Source organism: Homo sapiens, chromosome 5 (assembly GCF_000001405.40).
Source record: "Homo sapiens chromosome 5, GRCh38.p14 Primary Assembly".
Taxonomy (NCBI): domain Eukaryota; kingdom Metazoa; phylum Chordata; class Mammalia; order Primates; family Hominidae; genus Homo; species Homo sapiens.
Window position 1 is genome coordinate 74,858,996 of NC_000005.10, and position 22,822 is coordinate 74,881,817.

Genomic DNA, 22,822 nt, shown 5'->3' on the forward strand with positions numbered 1-22,822 from the left:
CTGAGATCAGGAGTTCAAGATGGGCCTGGCCAACATGGCAAAACCCATCTCTACTAAAAATATAAAAAATTAGCCAGGCATGGTAGCACATGCCTGTAGTCTCAGCTACTCAAGAGGCTGAGGCAGGAGAATTGCTTGAACCCGGGAGGCGGAGGGTGCAGTGAGCTGAGACAGTGCCATTGCACTCCAGCCTGGGTGACAGAGCAAGATTCCATCTCAAAAAAAGAAAAACCAAAAAACATACATTTCCCCTACATTAATACACAAACTAACAAAAAATGAAGGTTTTCTCTTTTTTTTTTTTTTTTTTTTGAGACAGAGTCTTGCTCTGTCACCCAGGCTGGAGTGCCGTGGCACAATCTCAGCTCACTGCAACCTCCACCTCCTGGATTCAAGCAATTCTCCTGCCTCAGCCTCCTGAGTAGCTGGGATTACAGGCACATGCCATCAAGCCTGGCTAATTTTTGTATTTTTAGTAGAGACGGGATTTCACCATGTTGGTCAGGCTGGTCTCAAACTCCTGACCTCGTGATCCACCCGCCTTGGCCTCCCATAGTGCTGGGATTACAGGCGTGAGCCACCACGCCCGGCGAAGGTTTTCTTAATTTTTAACATTTCTATCAACTCAACTTGTGGTTATACTATATCTCATGTAAATCAAAAGCTGTGATTGATGAGTGATAGATACATCACGATTTTTTTTAAATAAGGAAGCAAATAACTGCTTTGAAATGTACCTCAGCTGAGCATGGTAGCTCATGCCTATAATCCCAGCACTTTGGGAGGCTGAGGTAGAAGGACTGCTTGAGGCCAGGAGATCAAGACCAGCCTGGGCAACAAAGCGAGACCCCATCGCTATTAGAAAAGAAAAGAACCTCAACGAAGTGTCATACATGGTACATGGGGTGGGTGTAGAGAGATAATAAAAGGGAGAAAAGGTAAGAAGATGAGGATCACTGAACTAGATACTAAAAGCTATCCTAATTCCACTGATAATGATATTAGTAGCTCACCATTAATACATTATCACATTGAGGTAATTCTGTCAACAACATTTTGAGATAAATTCTGTAATAACCACTCTTTTACAGATGAGGAAACTGAGGCCAGGAGAGATTCAGTATCTTAATAAAAGGCAGCTAGAAACAGCAAAGTCAGGATTCAAACCTATGCCTATGGGCTTAAACTGTAGATCTGCACTGAGTAGTAACTACTGTTGATGGAAGTATCAGAATAAATTAATCAGGTATATCACAAGCCAATCCAAACTTGAAAGCACTGGCATACATGTATAAAAGCTTTTAGACTACAAAATTCTTTACTAATATGGTTTAGTACTTTATCTTTCATTACATAACAATAAGTCAAACTCACTGACTTTTTCTCCACTTCTATGAATTACTAAATTGGCTTCTGTCCTTATCACTATATTAATACTCCTACTCATAAGATCTCCAATAACCCTCCAAGTCCCAAATTCAATTGATTATTTTCATTCTTACTCCTCTTGACCTTATGACAGACTACACCAAACTGACCACCTTCTGTCACTTAAAAGTTTCTGTCTTTCCTTGACACTCAGGACAATCTGACTTTCTGGAGAGGGATCTAGGCCAATAATACAGATTTGGGAGCTACCAGTGTATATATTTGGTAAATGGAGCCACTAGACAGGATAAGATTTCTAAGTAAGAGCAAGTGGAATAGCCAAGGCTTATAGTTAGGTGAAATATTCTTCTTCTCTCTCTTCTTCTTAGTTTCTTTCAGCAACTGACCCCTCTCCTCTGCACAATCCATAAATGCAGGGATCCCTCCAAATGCAATGTAGCACTAAAAAAAAAAAAAAAAAAAAAAAGTCTAGGCCGGACACAGTGGCTCATGCCTGCAATCCCAGAACTTTAGGAAGTCGAGGCAGGCGGATCACGAGGTCAGGAGTTTGAGACCAGCCTGGCCAACATGGTGAAACCCCGTATCTACTAAAAAGTACAAAAATTAGCCAGGCATAGCGGCGTGCATCTGCAATCCCAGCTACTCAGGGGGCTGAGACAGGAGAATCCCTTGAACCCAAGAGGCTGACCTTGCGGTGAGCTGAGATTGCACCACTCACTCCATCCTGGGTGACAGAGTGAGGCTCCTTTTCAAAAATAAAAACAGTCTAATAAATGGATTTGTTCCCAATTCGTATTTTCAAAAATTGTGTGCATTTAGACTTCAAGGAACCTTTTAACATTTTAACTTATAATATTTCACCTAACTATAAGCCTTGGTTATTCCACTTGCTCTTACTTAGAAATCTTACCCTGTCTACTGGCTCCATTTACCAAATATATACACTGGTAGCTCCCAAATCTCTATTATCTGCCTAGATCTTTGATTCATATTTGCAACAGTTCACGCAATACCTCTACCTGGATTCTCCCTCAGGAAACCCAAAACTAAATAACGTATATCCAAAGTTGACCAGACATAGTGGCTCCCAGCACTTTGGGAGACCAAGACAGGCAGATCGCTTGAAGTCAGGAGTTCAAGACCAGCCTGGTAAAACCCCATTTCTACTAAAAATACAAAAATCAGCCAGGCGTGCTGATGGGCACCTGTAATCCCAGCTACTAGGGAAGCTGAGGAAGGAGAATCACTTGAACCTAGAAGGCAGAAGCTGCAGTGAGCCAAAAAAAAAAGTTAACTTCTCTCCCTCTACAATCCTCTCTTCTTCCTCTCCTCACATTGTATGTTAACAAAGCAACCACCTACCCAGTTGTATGCTAAAACTTATTGAAGTCATCCTTTCCCTTAACACAACTCTTCATTGATATCATTAACAAAATTGGGTGATATTATCATTATGCACGTCAGCCAATGAGCTTTATATACTACTTCTAGTCATTTCAATAAGCTTGCAAGGCATGTCTCATACTCATTTTATAGCTAAAGAGGCCAAGCCTAAGTAACTATCCCTCATTTATACAACCATGGCAACAGAGCCCTGGTGCCCTGACTTAAATCCAGTCTGTGTGACACCAAAGCACATCTCTTTCCACCTCAAATACTGCCTTTCTACTGCAGCAGATGTGTCTCAACTCTAGCCCCTCCTCTGTCACCTCCATAGCCACAGCTTTGCTTCAAGGCTTTGCCAAGATTATCATAAAAGCTCGTATCTTTTCTCCACTCCAATCCAGCGTTTAAACTGCTATTGGAATGCTCTTCCTAAAAAGAGAGAGAGAACCCCATTCTGTTCATTCCTTCCTTTGAAAACCCATTATTGGTTCCCCATCACCATGGAGCAAAACTCATACACATCCATTCACAATCAGGCCCCAACCCACCATGGGACCTGGGCCAGATCAACTGACTTCCCTGTTTTCAGAACAGGACCAGTTATAACTCTATGCTTTAGCATTTGCTGGGACTGTCTCTCGTCATATCCCACATCCCCAAAAGCTTCTGACAAGTTCTCACTCATCCATTGTTCAAGACCAAGTTCAACTGTCACTGCCTCTGTAAAGCCCTTCCAGAGTCACTCAGACAGAATTAATGCAGCCCTCCTCGGCATGCCCCATATCACTTTGTTCAGTTCACTCACAGGACAGAATTATCTGCTTAATGTTTGTCTCATCTTTAAGACTGAATTTCTAGATTACTTTGCACATTCATGTTTTTGTACCCAGCCTAACAGTACACCTTACAAGGACTACTGGAATGAATTTTCCAAATTAAACTAATTCTATACCTGAGAAGTTACAAATAAAGTGTGACAACATGCAACTTGGCGCTTTTTTAAAAATGCAATTTGCTAAATTTGTTCCCAACTCGTATTTTCAAAAATCTTTGTACAGTTAGACCTTAAGGAATTGTTAACATTGTAATCCACAATACTTCACTAAACTATAGACTCCGTGACAGTAGGGCCTGTTTGTGACCTACAACACACAACAGACACTCAATGTTTGTGGAATAAATGAAAGCTATCTTTGTTTAGTCTAAAACTAGCATCTTATTGGAACAGCTAGTAACCAAAACTGTATTCATTTAAAAAAAAAAAAAAAAGGCAGGGGTGGGAGGAATCTAGGTACGTCACAAACTTTCTAGCCTAAAAAATAGGTTAGCATAGATGAGTAGTCCCCTATACAGAGCATGTAAACGTTAAGGTATCATATACCAACTCTAAAACTCCATGAGTCTAATAAGCATTCTAGGATATCTCTGATAAATTATTAGTTTTTCCCTTATTATCTTTAAATCATCACACCTTTTCCTTAATAAATTCTACCTTAAGTGATTTTCTTGTTATCATTGAAACAATTGTGAAATATTCCTACCACCACTGAGGCATACCAAATTTAGAACTTAAATTTCAGAGCTAAATATACAAAAAATAATGGCATGTGAAGAGACTATCGTCTTAAATACAATAATCACACAATTCCTTTTTTCACTTAGAATCATAAAATCTTAGGGGAAGGAACATACAAGTTTTGTTTAACTTCCTACCCAAACAACAATCCTTTATACAGAATCCTTGACAGATATTGTGGGAACCACTACATGAATACTCAACTCTCTTATGTTGTACTTACCTTTAAAAAGTAAATCTTACTGAATTTTTAGGCAGATGACTGAACATAGTATGCTTAAGGCTTAAAACGGAGTATTTAGGTAGGAGCTAATAGAGAAAAATATTCGATTTTTCTTTTCAATTTCTCAACCATTGGTAAATAATGCTCAAAATCTCAAGCAACTTCAAAGACAAAAGCACACCAAGATCACTTCCAAACTGGAGTCAATACAATCTTACCAATTCAGTGAACTTCTCTGACTTGTATAATAACAGAATCAATGTAAAAGTTTAAGAGTTGTGTTTGACTCAGCACTGTTATTTGCTAGAAAAAAAAAAATCTCATTCCCCATAGGCCTAGGATAGGTCCAGACAGGTCACCTGCAATCTCTAGCAGGCAATCTTTGCTTACTTAAATTCCCTAAACCAAGACTCATCTCTAAATGTCCAAGGTTCTTCTCGCCTCCATAATTCTCCCTATAGAATAAACATATCTATAATGGGAAGCACGATATTTTTGCCAGGGATGGTACACAATATGTAATCACTTGTTTGAAGACAAAATTAGTGGGAGAGTCTTCAACAAAACAGAAAATAAATAGTTTAATTTAATAAGGAGGATGGCATGGAAACTTTACCTCAAAAGCACTTAATTATTTTGTTTTCTCCAAATCAAAATCCTTTGTTGGATATATATTCCATCTTGGTGTTTCACTGTTGTTGCCCAGGCTGGAGTGCAAGGGCACGATCTCGGCTCACCGCAACCTCTGCCTCCTGGGTTCAAGTGATTCTTGTGCCTCAGCCTCCCGAGTAGCTGGGATTACAGGCATGTGCCACCACACCCGGCTAATTTTGTATTTTTAGTAGAGACGGGGTTTCACCATGTTGGCCAGGCTGGTCTTGAACTCCTGACCTCGTGATCCACCCGCTCTGGCCTCCCAAAGTGTTGGGAAAACAGGTGTGAGCCACCGCACCCGGCCTATATCCCATCTTTATTAAATAAATACCACTTGTAATGACATGAATACTATCTCAAAGGTCAGACTAATTTGAAGCCTTTTAGAACCTAAAATCCACAGGTAAAACACCTTAATTTATGGTCACTCATGTGGAAGGTCAATGTTGCTACTCACATAAGCTATTTCTAAGTTCCCCAAACAGATCCCCATCATTAACTTAGAGAAAAGTCCACTATAATAGCTACAAGATTTCTGTGAAAGACGATCATGTTTTATCTTTGTTTGCGCTTCAAGTGTTAGGATAAACGGACTTTTCCCAGGTGCCTCTCACCATCTCATTCCTTGCCTTTCCTCCAAAACAAGCAAAACTAAAACACTAAAAATTTTAGTCTGGTCCATACTAGTCAATAAAAATCTTTCCTCTTGTAAACACTTTATAGCACGATAAGGGACGTAGTTTGCAAAGATCATCTGTACATCCTGTGTAAAAAATAAAAACGCATGGCACACCAAACCCAGATCCACTTCGGTGAATTCCCTCCAGGGCCCAAATGTGTGCATTATGCAACAGCCAGCACTCCCGATTGTAATCCCTGTCTGTGATGCAATGACAAAATATAAATGGCTTGGGTATAATCTGCTCAGTTCGTAAGTAGTAATTCGCAAGAAGCCAACGAATTAAAAGAATTCCCAAATTCTCAGGAACCTTGAAAATGACAAATTGTGTCACAGTTCTGTGAGAATCACAATGAAAACTTTCCCTTCTGGAAATTTTTTAGAAATATGTCCCTCCGGTCCCAATCCCCCAAAAACCCGTACACACGTTTTAATTTACGTTAGGAACGGCTCTCCCAGCGGGGGAAGGTGACCTGCATCAGGTGGTTATCTTCGAATCCACCCGATACGATACCCACGCCGCTTCCCAGACGCTGAAAAGCCAGTGAGATGCTTCATCCTTTCTCCCCAAGGACAGTCATGGGAGTCAGTGTAATCCAGACCCCCGAGCCATAAACCACCCAGGGTTCAAGGCTTCACCTCCTGAGGCACAGGCCTCTTGAAAAATGGCATAATGGAGAGCTGAGAACACAATTAGGACAAAACTGCAACGACCAGCATTCCAGAGGAGGGAGAATCATACAATATCTGTTCCAAAAGTAGTTACAGGTAAAGGAAGGCGGTCAGAGCATCTCTGGAGGCCACCTGGTCGGGTGAACCGAGTCTAAACGCTGAAGTTCCACACCTCCCCGAGTCCGCGTCTCCCCAAGCCAAAGCAATCAGCTCGCACGCCAAGCATCCAGGTGGGGAGAGGGCGAGGGGAGGGGGCGGCAAGCCGCAGCTGCGAACCGGCCCGCGGCGGAGGCGAGCGAAGACGGGCATTCCCTCACACAAAATGGTGGCGCCGAGGCGGAGGCCGGCGCACCTGGGGGCGCCACACGCCCTACGGGATCCCCGCAGACCGCCGCCAGCTGGACGCGAGCCCCGGGTCCAGGCGGCCCGCACTGGTCTGCGCCAGGCCCAGCCCGCAGGGGCCGCCCACAGCCGGTGGCCCGCGTCGCCGCTCGGTGTCCGCGGGTCTGGTGCTGGCGGGGGCGCGGGGCCCGGCGCGGCCGTCTCGGCCTCACCCAGCGGTCCGCGCCGGGGAGAGGGAGCGCACTCACCTCAGACGCGCCCCGGGAGCCGCTGGAAGAGCCCGGGAAAGGAGGCGGAGCCGCGCGAATGAATGGAGCCGGCGGCTGCTCGCTGGCGACCTCCGGCCGGTCCCAGGCCGCACAGCTCGCGGCTGCCAGGGCGAGTGCGGCTGCCTCCCGCTCGCCCCGGACGCCCGGCTCCTCGTCGCGGGTCGGCCGCGGCCCACCGTGCCCTCCGACGACGTGACGCACTAGCGCCGCAGCGCCTCCAGCCTTCGCTTCCGCTCCGCGCCCGCGCCCACCGCGAATCCCCCCGCCCGCCAGCGCGGAGCGGCCCCTCCTCGGAGCCTGGGACGCCGCCCTGCCTCCCTCCAGCCCCGGCTTTCAGGCGCCGGCCCGGCAGGTGCGGGCTTGGCCAGCCCGGGGGCGTCACGCGGCCCCCGCCTCGCCACCCGCGCCCCCTCTCTCCGCCCCGGCCGCCGTCACCCGGCAGCGCGACGCCCAGCTCAGGGCAATGGCCTGGTATTAAAGAGTGACCTTGGCTTAGATATAAAAATAGATGCGGTTAAGCCGCGGGGGCTGCAACGCTGATTTTGCGTATTCCTTTAATGCCGACCTTCGCAGGATTCTGTTCGCATAGCCCGGTGGAGTTCTCCAGCCCCGCGTAGGCCCTCCTGAAATTTACCCAGAGTGGGCGCGGCCATCCCGGCCTCGGGACAGGGGTGCAGAGGGCACGGGCGAGGACCGCCGGCCTCCGCCCCACCACTTTCATCCTAAACCTACTGCCACTTAGGTGCATGCAAGTTAGAATCGTGGGCTGCTTTCACAGTCTACAGAAGTCCTAGAGCCCGGACTTTCATCTGGAGATGTCAGGGAAATACCACATTCCTGCGCTGACCTTTTCTCTTTCACCGTTTAACCGGTACAGAATAACCCTGACCCAGAAAGACAACAGGGTTCCATCCGGCTTTCCTCCCGTGCCTCTCCCAGCTCTATTCTACCGTCTTATGGCCTCTGGCGCCTTTGCTAATTACACACTCCTACTGAAAATTAGCCCTCCAGCATTTAAAACATGATAAATTGTCTTTAAGGTAATGCGTATTGTAGTCTAAATATATTTAATAACTGTATTGAGAAACAATATTGTATCTAAGTATTAATGTCAAGACTTTCTTTTACTCATCATCCAAGAACCGTAGTATTATGTTCAGCTCATCCAGAAAAGTTGAAAATTGCTTCTTTCATTCCTGGGAAATATTTAGCAATCACAATACCAACTTTCACGAATTTACTAATGATTAGCAAAATTAGCAAGATCAAAAAATACTTCAAAGAATGCTTGTTGATATAGATATATTTGACCCTGATTTTTAAAAAAAGCTTTTCTGCCATATAAGAATCTATTGTTTCATTTGTATAATATTTAATTAGCCAAAATCTTTACTATTACACATCATTTACCATTTTAATGAAACTTAATGAATTAGATTTAATAGAGCAGGAATTTTGGGTAGTTGGGTTCTACCCATAGCCAGTGATGAATGAAATTATATGACTTGTATTTACATTTCTAGAGCTATGTGTAAGTAGGAGTCCCCAGGGTAATCCCAAACAATTGCCATTTGGGGAAGCTTTGGCTACCAGACTATGCCCTACAGATGTTGAAGCCTCAGGCCTTAGTGTAAAGCTAACCAATACAACTTGTTGATAATATTTGAAATGCCTGGGTGTGATTGACTCTTAGCTATTGTTTTAGAAGTATGCGGGTATTTGTGCCTGGGTCAGGGAGGCCTGGCTCCCAGATGTCTGGCTATTCTGGTAGGAGACAGAACTACATTCACCCAGACCTATAAAAGAAAAGGTCCAATTTTTTTTTTTTTTTTTTTTTTTTTTTTTGAGACAGGGTTTCACTCCCACAGCCTAGGCAGGCTGGAATGCAATGGCGCGATCTCGACTCACTGCAACCTCTGCCTCCCAAGCTCAAGCGATTCTCCGGCGTCAGCCTCCGGAAGAGCTGGGACAGAGGTGCACACCAACGCACCTCGCTAATTTTTGTAGAGACGGAGTTTCGCCATGCTGCCCAGGCTGGTCCTGAACTTCTGAGCTCAAGCGATCCGCCCGCCTCGGCCTCCCAAAGTGCTGGGATTACAGGCGTGAGCCACTGCGCCAGGCCTGATTCTCTTTTCCCTACTTGCAAATGACACTATTTTTGAGAGTTTTTGGTTTTTTCTTTTTAAATCACCATTGACTTCCCTCTTTGGCTGAGATAAATTTTGCTTATCTTAGTGGGCAAAGAACAACAACTAAAAACATGAGCCTTTGTCAGATTAGTATATGCTGAAAATTGTTACCACAATATTTTGAAATATGCTTTGAGGCTTTTTTCTGAACCGTTTTTAGAGTAAAAGGATTATTGCTTTGGTTTTTGTTTTTGCAATGCTTGCTTTAATTATTACTTTGTTATTAGCAAAGGAAACATGTTAAGAGTTCGTTCTGATTGTATTTTTCCTCTATGTTTAAAGAGGAGTGGAACCATCTTAAGTAAAAGAAGCTTGCCACAACCCTGGATTTTGGAGGTTACTAATACACATGACCCAGAAAAGAGCTCTTTAGTTGCACTGGGGAAGAGGAATTCTTAATAGCTAAAATCATAACTGATGTTTTTGACAGCTAACAAATTGCCAGGCACTCTACAGACTTCTTTATGGAAATTAATTCACTTAATCCTCTTACCATCCTTGCAGGTATACACTGTTACCCCCAGTTTACCTAAGAGGAGTCTTGAGGCACACAGAGAAACTAAGCAATTTGCCCATGGTCACACAGATAGTAATCCTAGCATGTTGGCTCAAGAGCACACTCCCTTAACCAGAATTCCATACTGCCTTAAATGTGCACAAAATCCTATACCATATGGATAGATTTTGCTTTTGAAGCCCTAAAACATACTAAATGTCCTATACTTTCAAGTTTAAATAATTTCTTAGATCTAGTATTTTCCCAGACAGGAAGGAAGAATTAAAACTAGTTACAAGTTTACAAGTTAGAAAGAAAACTTGTAAAAACTTCCTCTGGTATATACTAAGCAAAATTTTATAATCTGTTAGTTTTTGAAAAACACATTTTTCATTTTTACATCATTTAAGTGTAATTGCTCTCCAAGTCCCGTCCCCCAGTTCCAGGGCATAATTACAAGTTTTCATTCTGTTTATTTAGCGCGTGGAAAAGACACATTTCCTTAGAAAGATTTATCATCATCTTTGACACTCCAATAAGACATAAATATGTTGGGAACAGGCCCCCCCAAAATCTCGCCATCAACTGGCCCCAAAACTGGCCATAAACAAAATCTTTGCACCACTGTGACATGTTCGTGATGGCCGTGACGCCCACGCTGGAAGGTTGTGGGTTTACCAGAATGAGGGCAAGGAACACCTGGCCCACCCAGGGCGGAAAACCGCTTAAAGGCGTTCTTAAACCACAAACGATAGCATGAGCGACCTGTGCCTGGACATGCCCCTGCTACAGATAACTAGCCAGAGCCCATCCCTTTATTTCAGCCCATCCCTTGTTTCCTGTAAGGAATACTTTTAGTTAATCTATAATCTATAGAAACAATGCTTATCACTGGCTTGCTGTCAATAAATATGTGGGTAAATCTCTGTTTGAGGCTCTCAGCTCTGAAGGCTGTAAGACCCCTGATTTACCACTCCACACCTCTGTATTTCTGTGTGTGTCTTTAATTCCTCTAGCGCCCCTGGGCCAGGGTCTCCCCAGCTGAGCTGGTCTCGGCATAAATGGGTAGATTTAGAATCCATCATATGTTTTAAATACATAAAATCACAGGGATTTTTTTTTTTTTGAGACTGAGTCTCACTGTGACGCCCAGGCTAGAGTGCAGTGGTGTGATCTCTGCTCACTGCAATCTCCGCCTCTTAGGTTCAAGCAATTCTCCTGCCTCAGCCTCCTGAGTAGCTGGGATTGCAGGCACGCACCACTATGCCCGGTTAATTTTTTGTATTTTTAGTAGAGATGGTGTTTCACCATGTTGGTCAGGCTGGTCTCGAACTCCTGACCTTGTGATCCACCCGCCTTGGCCTCCCAAAGTGCTGGGATTACAAGCGTGAGCCACAGGAGAACATTTTAATAACTGAGGTAGCCCAGGGATTTCTAGATTGAAACTATTAGCCAGTCAGCTAACTAGTTAGCTAATAATATCAGCCATGGCAATGTAGAAAGACAATCTTACCTGCAGGCACTAAAAGACGAAAAAGGACAGCTATCCTAGAATGCTTGATTTCTTCCTTTGGTATGTAAGAAAACATGTCACAGGAATGCTTTCAGAATTAAAAGCAGTGTTTTGACTGAGTTTTATTGGTCAAACACTACTATAACTGCAGATTTCAAATTCCTGAGTGATACTGTGCCCTGGGGGGAGAAAAGAACCTGAAGAAAAGAGAAATAAGTTTGAGAAGCCCAGTTGCATTTGTCTTGCTGCTTGATTTGCTTTAATATGTGGTAGAAGGACAGAGAATTTGGTAAGTTTAGTTTAGGTTTAAAAGAAATAAAATGTACAGTTTTTCATATTGTTAATGAAAAATCACATACATATTTACATCCATGGTAGGTACTGCAAGTTGCTTAATTAATATCCATTCTCTTCTTTCTTTAGGACAAACCCAATTTTGTTCATGGTGGCAATGTGCCCCACTAAAACTGTTTTCCTCCCTCAGACTCCTCTAGTAGCTGGGATAGCCATATGGTCATTTTGGCCAACGAGTTGTAAGCAGAAGATTATTAGATGTGTCTTCCAAGAAAGCTTTTATTTTCTGATAAAAGAGGGTGGACTCAATCGGCATATACCTTTATCTTTTGTCAAACATTTGTACTTCTTCCTTCTTCCTGTTTGGAAGGAAGACTTAGGTCTGGGAGCAGAGCAGCCATCTTGGAACCATGAGCTGATCATGAGAATGAAATCCATGTATTAACATGCTAGAGCCAAGAGACGGGAACCTGGGACAATGGTGATGTTATATGGCTGCTACACCAATTCCAGGCTGCTCACCTCCAGTCTTCTCTGTTACTTACCAACAATCCTAACTAATTCTCAAAGTTAAACACTGTCACTTTCATATAGCTAGAAAAAAAGAATACTTCTAGAGTATGTTTACTATACCATATATATTTACCATCCTTTGGCCGGCCATGGTGGCTCATGCCTGTAATCCCAGTACTTTGAGAGGCTGAGGCAGGCGGATCATTCGAGGTCAGGAGTTCGAGACCAGCCTGGCCAATATGTTGAAACCCTGTCTCTACTAAAAATACAAAAATTAACTGGGCGTGGTGGCAGGCACCTGTAATCCCAGCTCCTTGGGAGGCTGAGGGAGGAGAATTGCTTGAACCTGGGAGGCGGAGGTTGCAGTGAGCCAAGACTGCACCACTGCACTCCAGCCTGGGCGACAGAGCAAGACTCAGTCTCAAAAAAAAAGAAAAAAAGAAAACAAAATACCACATATTCTCACTTACAAGTGGAAGCTAACCATTAGATACTCATGGACATAAAAATGGCAATAATAGAAACTGGGGACTTGTGGGGGGAGAGAGAGAGGGAGCAAGGGTTGAAAAACTAACTATTGGGTACAATACTCAGTACCTGAGTGACAGAATCATTTGTACCCCATACTTCAGTATCATGCAATTTACCCATGTAATGAACCTGCACATATACCCTCTGAATCTAAAATAAAATTTGAAAAAGAAAAACAAATACACAGAAAAGTATAATTAAATTTTGCATTTTTAGTTAGAACAAGTAGAAGAATCAGGATGTAGAGAGGGATTCTTTTTTTTTTTTTTTTTTTGAGACAGCGTTTCACTCTTGTTGCCCAGGCTGGAATGCAATGGCACTATCTCTGCTCACCGCAACCTCTACCTCTCGGGTTCAAGCGATTCTCGTGCCTCAGCCTCTCAAGTAGCTGAGATTACAGGCATGTACCACCATGCCCGGCTAATTTTGTATTTTTAGTAGAGACGGGGTTTCTCCATGTTGGTCAGTCTGGTCTCGAACTCCTGACCTTAGGTGATCCGCCCGCCTCGGCCTCCCAAAATGCTGGGATTACAGGTGTGAGCCACTGCGCCCGGCCCGTAGAGAGGGATTCTAAAATTAAAATATTTGGTCCGTGTTTTATAGGCAGCAACCTGGCATATATATCAAAAGTAATGAAAATATGGATATATTTCCCATAATACCACTCCTGGAAACTTATCCAAAGAAATACTTAAGAAAAAAAAGTTATGTGCATGTCACTGAATGATGTCACTGAAACATTTTTTTTAAAAAAAAAAAAAGCCAAAATGTACAAATACAAAAATGTCTAGGCTTGGTGTGGTGGCTTACACCTGTAATCCCAGCACTTTGGGAGGCCAAGGCAGGCAGATCACTTGAGGTCAGGAGTTTGACACCATGCTGGCCAACAGGGTGAAACCCCATCTCATACAAAAATTAGCTGGGTGTGGTGGTGGGCACCTGTAATCCCAGATACTCAGGAGGCTGAGGCAGGAGAATCACTTGTGCCTGGTAGGCAGAGGTTGCAGTGAGCCAAGATCACACCACTGCACTCCAGCCTGGTCAACAGAGTAAGACTCTCTCAAAAAAAAAAAAAAAAAGGATATTTAATAATAGGTATATTGCTATTCATCAAAGAAATACAAAATTTTCACCTATATTATTAAAGACAACAGGGGGCATTTTATAAAATTACTAATAGCAACTTGCAAAGCATATTGGAACATCTATACACTGTAACAGTTTGGCAGAAAGTGGAACACCTGTCTGGATGCAATGTATCATGATCATCATTGTCATTGTTGCTGGATTTCATTTATCAAACGTTTATATGCTAGACATTGTACTAAATATCATACTTAAGTTATCTTATTTAATGCCCACAATATCTGCTTGATGTAGATACTATGATCCTCATTTAACACATGAGGAAACTGAAGCTTAGAGAAGTGAAGAAATTAATCCAAGGCTATGGAACAGGAATTGGACTCTTCTTCTGAAATACTCTAGATTTTGGAGACTAGACTCTAGACTTTACTGTTTTTCAATCAGTATATATCTAGCTTCTAGAAAATATTTATATTAACACTCTCTCACCCAATATTTATGCATTTATTAATTCAACACGTCCTTTGAAATGTCTGTTATGCCAGGCACCATACTAGATATACCCTGTGATGTGATCATGTAACAGTGGAACAGGCAGAGCCAACAAGAAGTTGACCTATGAAACCATGGCTTGTAGCAGAGTGTTGGGTACCAAGAAATGAAGCTGCAGAAATAGGCAGGACCTGTTATTCTTAAAAAAATCCTGTTCAACCATGGTAAGGAGTATGGACCCAGGCCCAAAGGTAATGGAAATCCATTTGTATTAGTTTGTTTTCACACTGCTGATAAAGACATACCCAAGACTGGGCATTTTACAAAAGAAAGAGGTTTAATGGACTTACAGTTCCACGTGGCTAGGGAGGGCCTCACAGTCATGGTGGAAGGCAAGGAGGAGCATGTCATGTCTTACATGGATGGCAGCAGGCAAAGAGAGAGCTTGTGCAGAGAAACTCCCCTCTTTAAAACCATCAGATCTTGTGAGACGCATTCACTATCACGAGAACAGCACAGGAAAGACCTGTGCTGTTAATCACTAATTTGATCACTTCTCACCTGGTTTCTCCCACAACATGTGGGAATTGTGGGAGTTACAATTCAAGATGAGATTTGGGTGGGGACACAGCCAAACCATATCACCATTTAAGGAGTTTAAATTTCAGAGTGACAGGACCATATTTGCATTAGTAAAGAGATGACAGTCTGATCTAGAAGTGACAGTGAGGATGAAGAGAAGTAAATAGATTCTGGAGCTCAAAGGTGGAAAGTAGAATCAACAGGGTCTGGCAAAACAAGCAATATAATAGAGAAGGCAAGCAAGACCATCAGGTTCCTGACTTGAGCCACTGGATAAATAATGGTGTTATTTACTCAAATAGCAATCACTGCAGATAAGGATTTGGGGAGTAAAATTATGAGTTCCATTTTGTCTATGTTGAGTTTTTATGTGCTTGTAAGACATCCAAGTGGGGACATCTAAAATAGTGAGATCTTCAGGACTTCAGGGGAAATATGTAGACTTAAGGTATATTGATCAGGAGATATCAGCATAGGCATGGTAATTGAAGCCTTGGAATGAGTGAGCTTGCTCAGAGAGAATGGCGGGGAAAAGCATAGGTCCAGCCAAAATCTTATAGGGACCACAGAAGATCCTGCAGGAGAAACAGCATGGTCAGAGAGACAAGGGAGAGTGTGATAGCACAGAAGCCAAGAGACAGAGGTGAGTCGGCAGTGGAGTTAAATGCTCCCTTCAGAATTCATCCAAAGAAATAACTAAGGATAAGCCCAAAGACTTGCCTACAAGATTATTTCAATACTGTCTGTAATGGGAAAATATTGGTAGTGGGGAAAGGAAGGGGGAATCCAACAGTAAGATAGTTGTTAAATAAATGTTGGTACATCCATACAATGGAATGTTGTGTAATCTTTAAATCGCATTTCTGAAGAATATTTAATGACATGGGAAAATGTTAAGTAGAAAAAGCATCTGTTTAAAAATTATGATCCCACTTTTGCTTTTAAAATTATGCTTAATCATACAGATATATTCACAGAATATTTAGACCATAATGATATGCAATATATAAAAATGTTAACACCAAAAGTTGGAAATGGATTGGAAACAGGCAAGACTGGGTAGTGGAATTATTGGATGGGTGGTTTGTATTTTGTTGATTATATTTTTCTCATTTTCCATGCTGAACATATAGTCCTTTTACACTAAGAAAAATCTTAATAGGTTTTTGGTTAAGAAACTTATAACACATAACACACAATATGCAGTGATTAAATTTTTGTTTTGTTTTGTTTTGTTTTTTTGAGACAGGGTCTTACTCTGTCACCCAGGCTAGAGTGCAGTGGCACAATCACAGCCCACTGCAGCCTTGACCTCCTGGGCTCAAGCTAACCTCCCACCTCAGCCTCCTGAGCAGCTGGGACCACAGGCATGCGCCACCATGCCCGGCTAATTTTTTTTTATTTTTTGTAGAGACAGGGTCTCCCTGTGCTGCCCAGGCTAGTCTCAAACTTCTAGGCTCAAGGGATCCTCCTACCTTGGCCTCCCAAAGTGCTGGAATTACAGGTGTGAGCCACCATGCCCAGCCCAGTGATCAAATATTATACTTGGAGAAACTAGGTACCAACATGGTACAATATGTGTGCTGTAACATTAAGTTATAGCAGGTTATATTACTTTATAGAAAGATGCAGGATAAGGACTTTGTAGAAGAACTGTCAAAGATAAAGCTGGGGCCGGGTGTGGTGGCTCACGCCTGTAATCCCAGAACTTTGGCCGGCCTAGGTGGGTGGATCACTGAGGTCAGGAATTCGAGACCAGCCTAGCCAACATGGTGAAACCCCGTCTCTACTAAAAATACAAAAAGTTAGCTGGGCGTGGTGGCTCACGCCTATAATCCCAGCTACTCAGGAGGCTGAGGCAGGAGAATCACTTGAACCTGGGAGGCAGAGGTTGCAGTAAGCTGAGATCGCACCATTGCATTCCAGCCTGGGCAACAAGAGCAAAACTCTATCTCAAAAAAAAAAAAAAAAAGATAAAGCTGGATACTAGTTGAAGACAGCAAAGACAGATTTTATTCAGTAATTAACTGTGGTAGGGGAAACAGCTAAGTTCAACTGTGAGTTGCACAGAGGTGTCTTGGAAAATGGGGGAGTAGGGAAGAGGAGCGGGCCTGGCCCCTGTAGCGTCACAGAAGTGAAACATTACAAAAAGTGGGGAAGTGAGGTAGGGTCAATATCCATGTAATTAGGCCATCTGATTCTGCCAACTGGCATTTATCCAAGTTAGGCTTCTACCCTCCCTCAGAGTCTGAGAGACAGAGGCCTTATCCTTCTTCATAACATCAAAGGAATGGGTTTTCAGGGCCTTGACAAAGACACTCCTGAGCTGTAGAAGATACACATCCATCTCAAAGGGACAAAGGGAGTTTTTTCAAATAAATGCTCTGAGAAAGGGATGTGAAGGGCCCATGACCGGGTGTTGCTGGAACAAATGGTAAATTCTTTTGGCAGCCTTGAGCTTTGCTAGACTGGAACTCAAGGTGGGCCAGGTCATCCCAGGCACGTGGCCTTAGGATGCTAAAGCAATGTCAGCCTTTGATCAAGTCTCTTAGAGCAGGGGTTTAGATGGAGATGTTTGTGCCAAATATGCAGTTCTCAAGACCAAAGGTATCCGTGATCAAAGGGTGGGGACAGATCCAAGACAGACGGAGCAGGTCCTTTTCCTGCCCAGCTGGGTAAAGGCCTCTGCCCTGTTAATCATGGAATAAATGAGTCCCTGGACTTTAATGTTTGCCCAGTGCCCCCTACAGAATCAGTTCACGGATGAAGGGACATCCTGGGAACACATGACATATTGTCCTTGTTCTGAGGCCTCCACACACAGCAGGGCCTCACACAAGGTCACGCACACACCAGAGAGGGCACAAGAAAAGGTTGAAAACCTGCCCAGGTTCTGCATGCCAAGCCAAGTGCCCTAACTCTAGGCTTCATCACCCGGAGGAAGAGGTGCCATTTTCTAATCTGCCTGCCCATTGGAAGTACCTTTTCTTTTTTTATATATATATATATATATATATATATTTTTTTTATTATTATACTTTAAGTTCTAGGGTACGTGTGCACAATGTGCAGGTTTGTTACATATATATACATGTGCCATGTTGGTGTGCTGCACCCATTAACTTGTCATTCACATTAGGTATATCTCCTAATGCTATCCCTCCCCCCTCTCCCCACCCCACAACAGGCCCCAGTGTGTGATGTTCCCCTCAGAGGAAGTACCTTTTCTAATCAGAACAAAGTGTCCTTCTATGCTAATGTGACCCTAACTGCATTAGGTTTGACACTGGCAGGCAGATTCAAGATAATTTGGGATCATCTTTTATAGGGCCTTATAACAAGACATAATTCATTATAATTGAAAATTAATTTCAGTACATTATTTTGGTTTTTGGTGGAATAGTCTATACTTTGAGGACTTGTTATACACTCAGTTAGTCAAAACATATGTAGTATTTATACCTGTAAGTGTTTGCTAAAGGTAGAGAGCCATTATCATCCCACCTCCCTACCTCCATTCATCCTCCTGCCCCTCCCATTCCCCCACCCCTCTACCACCAGTTTAATTTACTAATTTAGAAAAATATTGCAAAGCAGAAAGCAACGACGTTACTGCTTGGCTTTCTTTATGTCAGTTTAGTTGCCCAATTGAGGAATTTGATTAACAGCTAAATTCTGTACTGTAGATAATGCTGGAACTAAAAATGCTTTCAAAGTAAAAATTTGCATATGGAAGCAATCGATGTTGTAATAAAAAATACATATATAAAGCAAAGACTATTCCAACTTCAAAAAACAAAAATCAATCACACAAACAAAACCTGTGAAACTGAATACTCCAACTTGACAAGGATGACTTAAAAAAAGATCAGGCAAAACATTTGAATTCTTTTATATTGGAAAGGAGCCAAAATGAGAGACAGGAACAAAGATGAACTTTCAGCTCAAACAAAGACACAACCCACTGGGAAAGGCATGTTCTGCCAAGGCTTAGAGAAGGGACTCTCTTTTTCTTCCCCCATATCAAGGCTGACACAATACACAAAGTCTCTCAATTTTTCATCCTGGCCTTGATCTGAAAATGCTACAGCGAAATGGATTAGTGCTGGGGTGGGGATGGAGTGGAACTAGGCCTTCAGTGTGGGGCAGGCTTCCTTGGGCTCTCCAGTTTGCCCTGGTTCTCAAGCTTCAGTATAAAAAATGCAGAGACCTGGGTCTTCTCTCTCACTGCCTGGGCAACACAGGGAGACCCTGTCTCTACAAAAAATAAAAAAAATTAGCCAGGCATGGTGGTGCATGCCTGTGGTCCCAGCTGGTCAGGAGGCCGAGGTGGGAGGTTAGCTTGAGCCCGGGAGGTCAAGGCTGCAGTGGGCTGTGATCGTGCCACTGCACTTCTAGCCTGGGTGACAGAGTAAGACCCTGTCTCAAAAAACAAACAAAACAAACCAAAACAAAAATGTATTCACTGCATATTATATGTTATGTGTCATAAGTTTCTTAACCAAAAACCTATTAAGATTTTTCTTAGTGTAAAAGGACTATAAGTTCAGCATGTAAAATGAGAAAAATTTAATCAACAAAATATAAACCACTCATCCAATAATTCCACTACCCAGTCTTGCCTCTTTCTAATCCATTTCCAACTTTTGGTGTTAACATTTTTATATATTGCATATCATTATTGGTAGTGAGATTCCAATCCAGGAAATCAGGAATGGGACCAAAGAATTTTAAAATAAGCAATACAGGTCTATCTTTATCAAAACTCTTTATAGCTGGTGAGAAACTGAGACAACAAAACGTAGTATGTCTATGGTGTAGAGAGAAAATGTTGATTAAATTGTTCATCAACTCTCATAGTTCGTTTGCAGATTCTTTTGAGTTTTCTATGTACAAGATCATGACACCTCAAATAGAAATTTACTTTCTCCTTTCCAATCTTGATTGCTTTTATTTCTTTTGCTTGCCTAATTGCCCTGGCTAGAACATCCAGTACAATGTTGAATAGAAATGATGAGAGAAAACATCCTTGTTTTGTTCCTGATCTTAGGGGAAAAGCTTTCAGTCTTTAATCATTAAGTATGACGTTGGATGTGGGTTTTTCACAGATGCCCTTTACTGGTTTTTGTCAAATTTTTTTTCTGTGTCAATTAAGATTATCTTGTGATTTTCTTTTACTCTGTTAATTTGGTGCCTTCCATTGATTAACTTTATTTATTTATTTATTTATTTATTTTTTGAGACCAAGTCTCACTCTGTTGCCCAGGCTGGGGTGCAGTGGCACGATCTCTGCCTCCCGGGTTCAAGCTATTCTCATGCCTCAGACTACCTAGTAGCTGGGGCTACAGGCGTGAGGCACCATGCCTGGCTAATTTTTGTATTTTTAGTAGAGGCGGGGTTTCACCATGTTTGCCAGGCTGGTCTCGAACTCCTGACCTGAGGTGATCCACCCTCCTCGGCCTCCCAAAGTGCTGGGATTACAAGTGTGAGCCACCATGCCCAGCCTGATTCACTTTCATATGTTGAACAAACCTTGCATTTGTGGGATAAATTGATTGGTCATGGCATGTCATCCTTTTTATATGATGCTGGCTTTGATTTTCCAGTATTGAGGAATTTTGCACCCGTGTTCATAAGGGATACTGGTCTGTAGTTTTCTTTCCTTGTGATATCTTTGGCTTTGTTATCAGAGCAATATTGACCTCATAGAATAATTTAGGAAGTCTCCCCTGTTCTATTTTTTGACAGCATTTAAGAAGGACTAGTGTTAATTCCTCTTTAAAGGTTTGGCAGAATCCAGCAGTAAAGCCATCTGTGCTTGGGCTTCTTTTGTGGGTAGTTTTGGATTACTAATTCTTTTTACTAGTTATAGTTCTACTCAGATTTTCTTGAGCCCATTTTTACAGTTTGTGTATTTTTAGGAATTTGTCTATTTCATCTCAGTTATCTAATTTGTTGGCATACTAATCATAGTATTCTCTTATATCCTTGTTATTTCTGTAAGATCAACAGTAATGTCTCCTCTTCCACTCCTGATTTGAGAAATTTGAGTCTTCTCTATCTAAAGACTTGTCATATTTTGTTGATCTTTTCAAAGAACGAATTTTTGGCTTAGTTGACCTTCTCTATTGTTTTTCTATTATCTATTTATTTCCATTCTTTTTTTTTTTTTTTTTTTTCGAGACGGAGTCTTGCTCTGTCACCCAGGCTGGAGTGCAGTGGTGCAATCTCAGCTCACTGCAAGCTCCACCTCCCAGGTTCACACCATTCTCCTGCCTCAGCCTCCCGAGCAGCTGGGACTACAGGCGCCCGCCACCACACCCGGCTAATTTTTTGTATTTTTAGTAGAGACGGGGTTTCACCGTGTTAGCCAGGATGGTCTCGATCTCCTGACCTTGTGTTCCGCCCGCCTCGGCCTCCCAAAGTGCTGGGGATTACAGGCTTGAGCCACCGAGCCCGGCCTTATTTCCATTTTTTATTTACTTCCTTCTTCATGCTTTGGATTTAGTTTGCTCTTCTTTTTCTAGTTTCTTAAGGTAAAAGGTTAGGTTACTGATTTGAGATCTTTCTTCTTTTCCAATGAAGATGTTTACCGGTATACATTTCCCTCTGAGCACTAGTTTTGCTGCATCCTCCAAGTTTTGGTATGTTGTGTGCTTGTTTTAATTCACTTCAAAGTATTTTTGAATTGCTGTTGGGATTTCTTCTTTGATCCACTGTTTACTTAGGAGCATGTTGTTTAATTTTTACAAATTTGTTAATTTTTCAAATTTTCTTATTATTTCTAATTTCATTCCATTGACAAAGACATACCTTATATAATTTTCATCTTTTAAAATTCATTGAGACTTGTTTTATGGCCTAAAATATGGTCTATCCTGGAGAGTGTTCCATGCGCCCTTGAGAGCAATGTGTATTGGGCTGCTTTGCAATGGAGTGTCCTATATATGTCTGTCAGGCCTGGTTGATAAACAGTATTGTTCAAGTCATCTATTTCCTCACTAATTTTCTGTCTAGTTGTTTTACTCATTATTGAAAGTGTGGTATTTAAGTTTGACTATCATTGAATTGTCCATTTCTACTTTCAGTTCCGTCAGGTTTTGCTTCATGTATTTTGGGGCTCAGTTTTAGGTAATTATGTGTGTATAATTGTTATATCTTCCTGATGGATTGACCCTTCTATCATAAAAAATGCCCTATATCTAGTAATTTTTTTGCATTAATGTCTACTTTGATCCTACTATAGCTACTGTAGTTCTCTTTTGCTGTGTGCATGGTATCATTTTCCATCTTTTTAATTTCAACTTATTTCTTTGATGAATAACTTTTTATATGCTTATTGACCACTTGAATATCCTCTTTTGTAAAGTGCCTCTTCATGTCTTTGTCCGTTTTTTATTTTCATTTTTGTCTCTATCTTATTGATTTGTAGCAGTTTTTCATACGTTATAGATACAAGGCCTTTGTAGAATGTACTATTGCAAATGTTTTTTCTGCTTTGTAGAGTCTCTTTTCACTTTTTTCTTTTTTTTTATTTAAAGTTAATAATTTTTATTCAAGGAATTCCATGTTGTGATTTCTTCCACTGTCCATCAACTTCACTTTAGATCCTCTAAAGAGCTGGAGTCAAAAGATTTATCTTCAAGTTAGCCCTTTTTAATAAAACTGATGCTTATTTTAATCCAGTTGTCCTGTCAGCCCATAATTCTTTTATTTTGGCTTCTGTTATCTCCTTTTAATATGGATATACTGATGAAGACTTCAAAATTCACCAAGAATCTTTGGGATCTAATTTCTTCAACCAATTTACTTTAAGGTCCTTTTTACTGTAGGTGGTGGATCTGCCTGGTTCTCAATTTGGCACCCTTCTATTAACATGAATAAGTTCAAATCATATTTATTCCTAAGTGATCACACTTAAGAATGGTACAGATGT

General features: G+C 41.9%; 1 protein-coding gene and 1 long non-coding RNA gene across 15 annotated transcripts in view, besides 2 other annotated features; one reads left to right on the forward strand and one right to left on the reverse strand.

Annotated features, from left to right (window-relative positions):
• FAM169A (family with sequence similarity 169 member A) overlaps nt 1-7,971 on the reverse strand; it is an 89,393-nt gene extending 81,422 nt beyond the window's left edge. For 6 of the 14 annotated variants that reach the window (NR_046462.1, NR_164753.1, NR_164754.1 and 3 more), the window contains exon 1: nt 7,170-7,392. Coding sequence is in view for 1 of the 14 variants with exons in the window: in XM_047417083.1 (XP_047273039.1) it covers nt 7,825-7,938 (114 nt within the window). In the remaining 13 variants the exon portion in view is untranslated. Of the gene's footprint in view, nt 1-6,334; nt 7,393-7,676 lie in introns of those variants that run through there. The other 8 variants (XM_047417083.1, NM_015566.3, XM_047417085.1 and 5 more) reach the window with 8 other exon arrangements.
• Nucleotides 6,839-7,008: a silencer, noted in NCBI's record as "silent region_16096". NCBI's record gives its function as "represses an Ori minimal core promoter by ATAC-STARR-seq in GM12878 lymphoblastoid cells {active_cell/tissue: GM12878}" and the evidence as "EXISTENCE:reporter gene assay evidence [ECO:0000049][PMID:35858748]".
• On the forward strand, nt 6,898-8,280 carry FAM169A-AS1 (FAM169A antisense RNA 1). The gene has a single exon (NR_134288.1). It is a non-coding gene; the product is annotated as an FAM169A antisense RNA 1 (long non-coding RNA).
• Nucleotides 7,079-7,328: a silencer, noted in NCBI's record as "silent region_16097". NCBI's record gives its function as "represses an Ori minimal core promoter by ATAC-STARR-seq in GM12878 lymphoblastoid cells {active_cell/tissue: GM12878}" and the evidence as "EXISTENCE:reporter gene assay evidence [ECO:0000049][PMID:35858748]".
• Nucleotides 8,281-22,822: the final 14,542 nt, after the last annotated feature.